At 39.2% G+C, this 4640-nt stretch overlaps 1 annotated feature.

The window, feature by feature from the left end:
* Positions 1846-2347: an enhancer, noted in NCBI's record as "NANOG hESC enhancer chr15:54124093-54124594 (GRCh37/hg19 assembly coordinates)". NCBI's record gives its function as "activates a minimal SCP1, AML or CMV promoter by ChIP-STARR-seq in primed H9 embryonic stem cells {active_cell/tissue: H9 hESC(primed)}" and the evidence as "EXISTENCE:reporter gene assay evidence [ECO:0000049][PMID:30033119]".

The following is a 4640-nucleotide window of genomic DNA, read 5'->3' as shown; positions in this document are numbered from 1 at the left end:
ATGCCTATGTGATAAAATAGTATTAGGTAATTAAAAGTTATGGTTTATAAGAATAAAAGAAATGTTCAAGATACACCATTAGGTAGAAAAAGTAGATTATAAAATGTACTATAATCTCAGTTTTGTTAAATTATATATTGCATACGTTTTAACAAATGGCATATACATATTTTAGAACAATATACATAAACAAAAATGTCAGTGGTGGTGTTATGCATAGAAGTATAGATTATTTTCATTTTCTTCCTATCTTTTATTTTTCCTATATATTCTATAATTATCATAAATTACTTTAAAATTCTTACAAATATGATTTACGGTAAATATACAGATAAAAGAAACTAAAACAAAAGACTAATGGTGATTTTCCTCTGTATGGTAAAATGATAATTTTATTTATTAATAATTTTTTGTGTATTTAAAAATTTAAAGCAACTAAAAAGGTTTATAAGACTGAAATAAACTGTCCTTTAACTACGTTTTGACAGCCCTCAAGTTGCAAATAAAATTGCCTTCTGTTCCCCCCTGCTCTTCCCTACATAATTTTGCTACCTGAAATTATGTTCTTAGCAACTACTCATGATACACGCTTGCAGTCACACTAAATTTGGGATCCCAGTCATTTGTCTAACACACACAGACACACAGAAACAAAAGAAAACCAGTTATTTATTTTAGGGTCCACATTTTTGGAATATGGACCAAAAATATGGACGCTAAAATAAACAAATGGTTTGCTTTCATAACATTGTTAAACATCCCCAGAGTCACTGAAGCAGACTAGATTTATTTTCACAGCGAATTCTTGCCTTTTGGCTGCTCTGAACCCTGGCGTCATTCCCAGATTAGATCTTAACTTCTGCTAGTAGTCAACCAACTGCTGAAAAAGCAGAGACTTAGAAGCCAAAAGACTGGAAAAGAGTTCACAGAATGAGCCAGACTGTCCACTAGCAAACAGGCTATAGCTAGTGGAGGAGGCAGAATAGAAGCCCCTACCAACCACTAAGGGGATACCAGTGCAGACCACAGAACATCTGGGAAAAGCTACAGGGAGCTTAGAGGTGGGAATTTTCCAAACCTGAACGCTGGCTATGATTTAACTACAGTTCTTTTCATCTGATTACATCCCATGAGAGTTTTACCTTTTATCTCTTCCTCCCATGGTGCTTCCCATTTTTTCACACATCCTTTATATAACTCCCACGATTAGCAGGTAATACAATTCCTTTTGCCTTAACTGCCCCAGTAGAACTTGAGTTGGTCTGGTTGCTTCAAAAGTCTATACCTAGAGTAGAATGCAAGACTGAGAAATCTATGGGCTCCTGAAAGATTAGCAAGATGGCCATTAACCCTCCTACAAGCTCTTGGAAATCAGAGCTACCAGGAAACCCAAGGGCTTTGCTGAAATATAAGGGTTAGCCCAGGGTTAATTTTTCCTGTGTTCATAGATGTAGAGTACTGAGCAGTAAAGGACAGAGTATGAACTTGTCCCAGAAACCAGAGGCAGCAGCTTGAAGCAAATTCTCCCACAATCTCCATCTCTAAACACAAATTACCCCCAGTAAAATCTGTGGTTTAAACACAAACCATCCTCAGTAGAATCTGTGGGTTAGTACAAGGATTCTGTTTTGGGAAGAGTTTTCCCCTTGAGAAGAGTCTTCCATTCTGGCATGTTACTCTTAATTCAGCCTAAGCCAAACATGTAATTGTAGTGCTATTCCCCCTCATTTGCCAGGGACTTCTATTGTAAACCAAATAAAATGACTGAGGCAAGCTTCAATCAACTTAGAGATTTATTTTGCCAAGGTTGAGGATGCACCTGGGAAAAAGAGACACAAGGCACAGTAGGATCTGCGGCCTGCACTTTTTCCAAAGAGAATTTTGAGAGCTTCAATATTTAAAGAGAAAAAAGTGGGCAGGATGGGGAAGGAGGAAAGAAAAAAAGAGAGATAAAGAGTATGGTCACATTCTTGTGAGGCTTTCATTAGCGCTCACGGAATCCACATGTTGCATATGAAAATGAGGGAGTAGAGGAGCAGTCAGTTATGTATTTGCTCAGTAAAACTGCACTTTACATAAGATAAAGTAAACACAGAGTAGAGGAAGAAGTCAAATATGCATTTGCCTTAGGGTGGAGGGGACAATTTCTAGTCTCCTCTTGTCCCACACTCATAAAGATAAGCTGTTAATTTACATTTTCAGGGTGAGGGATGCCACCCGGGGAGATATGCGGCCTTTTATCTTGTAACTGTTTAGGAACAAAAGGAAAGGCAGGTTTTGGGGTTTTTGTTTGTTTGTTTTTGTGCATGACTCAGCTTCCAAGCTTAATTTTTCCCTTTGGCATAGGGAGTTTAGGGTGCTGAGATTTTCTTTTCCTTGCTCACTATATATCTATTTATTTAAAATAAGCCCACAAGGAAAGCTTGTGGTGTTAAAACTGTGTAGTGTCTGGACCATGGAGGCAAATACAGGAAACTACATAGGTGATAAAATGTGTAGAGCTTAATACACTCCAATTCATACCAATGAATACAAGTACAATGAGGGAATCAAAATAAGATCTTTGGATTGTATAGATGTCTGTATCTTCATTGTGATATTATGCTGTAGTTTTGCAAAATGTTACCAATGGGGGAAAATAGACAACGTGTACAAATGATCTTTTTGCATTATTTCTTACAATTGCATGTGAATCTACAATTATCATAAATTTTTAAAATCTTTAAAAATAGTTTAAAAATCAAGCGACAAGCTGCTAAATAAAATATATTCTATACTCCTACCTTGAAAAATAGGCCTCTTAACTACCTGGAATTCCAGTAAGGGAGGAGACCACCCCTCATAGTGTCTTATGACCAATTTCTGCCTCAAAGAAAAAGTAGGAGTTAAAGAAAAGACAGAAGTGAAATCAGTAGTCAGACAGCCCGGCGCTGCATTCCCAGGCTGGTAGTTAAAGATTGACTCCTGACTTAACTGGTTATGTTATCTATAGATTCCAGACATTGTATGGAAAAGCACTGTGAAAATTCCTATCCTGTTCTGTCCCGTTCTGATTACTGGTGCATGCAGCTCCCCCGTCACGTAGCCACTGCTTGCTCAATCGATCACGACCCTGTCACGCGGACCCCCTTAGAGTTATAAGCCCTTAAAGGGGACAGGCATTGCTCACTCAGGGAGCTCGGTTTTTGGAGACGTGAGTCCACCGATGCTCCCAGCTGAATAAAGCCCTTTCCTTCCACGACTCGGTGTCTGAGGGATTCTTGTCTGCGGCTCGTCCTGCTACACCAGGTTCAAATTTCAGATACCCTGACTTGGAATTTTCCATGGGAACACAGCTGCCTAGGAAAGCTGCCCCATCTCAGAAGCACTCCTATTCTCTTCTCCTCCCTGTTCTCTAAAATGCATGTTTGTGGACACCCACATTTGTGGACAGAACATACAAGCTTCATCTACACTCCTCTTACCTCTCAAATGGAGTCCTTGGCCGCTTCTTGCAGGCTCCAAAACCAGGCTCCAAGTCCTTCAAACATGAAATTCTGAGTCCCACATACTTGGAGTCAGTCTATGGGTCAGAGCGAGGGGCACTGTAGCCTCTGGGTAGCACATCTCCTTTACCTTGCTAACTCTTCACATCATCTGTAGGGACACAGCCAGAAAAGCACCAGGGAAGGGTCCAATGCAGGGTCTCTTGTCAAAGTCTAAGGGGAGTATCAGTCAGTACTACCATTTTATAAATAAGAAAATTGAGTGAAATTATACTTCATGTCACTGATAACTAGTAATATCAGGTTTCCAGCCAGATCTATTAGAGTCCAAGGCCATGTCACAGCAGTTCTAGCACACTCTCCCCTGATGAAAACCTGAATAAAATGCCCATTTTATTGTCTAAGGAGTCCACAAGGGCCTATCTATCTGCTCACAGCTATCCTAATTACTAGCCAGATATACAGTTGCCTTTCTCAGGACTTGTGTCATTCATTTAATGAGGCAGATTATTATTGAAATTGAATTAAATTCAACAGGCATTCATTGAGAACACCACAGTCATTGAGACACGGCTCATTATTTGCAGGACCAGCTCATTAATTTTGATTAATTCAGGTGCCAACTCTACAACATACAAAATAGATGCTAAACGTATACAGATGCATTATGCAGAAGCCATTATCAAGAATAGTGCTTTCACAGGCATTCCTGAGATGTTTCTATGGATTCTGCTCTATTTTTTCATTATTTCCAGAAATCTCTCTCTAGTTCTCAAAAAAAAAAAAAAAAAAAACCCAATCAATTAGAGAGGATGATACACAAAACCCACCCTTCTTTCTCCCAGGTAGGGAGATGGAAAACAAATAGACAAAGAGGAAGATGAACAGTGCAGATAAGTAGAAGTGGGGATAAAATAACAGAATGTTTAGAAATGCTTTCTAATTTGTCAATGACAGTTTTCCCATGACCCTTCATTTCTCAACTTAAAAAAAAAAAGTCAGATATATCTTTGCTCCTTCCAGTCAGAATGCCTCAGGCTGTTCCTGCAGGTGTCCCCAGTATTTCCTGCTTATTGAGTGGTTTAGACAAGATGGAACTGACTCCACCCTGCATGGTGCTCAGTGTGCTGCGTGGACCATTCCAACAGCTGGGGA

The sequence above is a fragment of the Homo sapiens genome, chromosome 15, assembly GCF_000001405.40.
Source record: "Homo sapiens chromosome 15, GRCh38.p14 Primary Assembly".
NCBI lineage: Eukaryota > Metazoa > Chordata > Mammalia > Primates > Hominidae > Homo > Homo sapiens.
The sequence above is the reverse complement of the archived record's forward strand: the minus strand, read 5'-3'. Positions and strand labels throughout refer to the sequence as shown.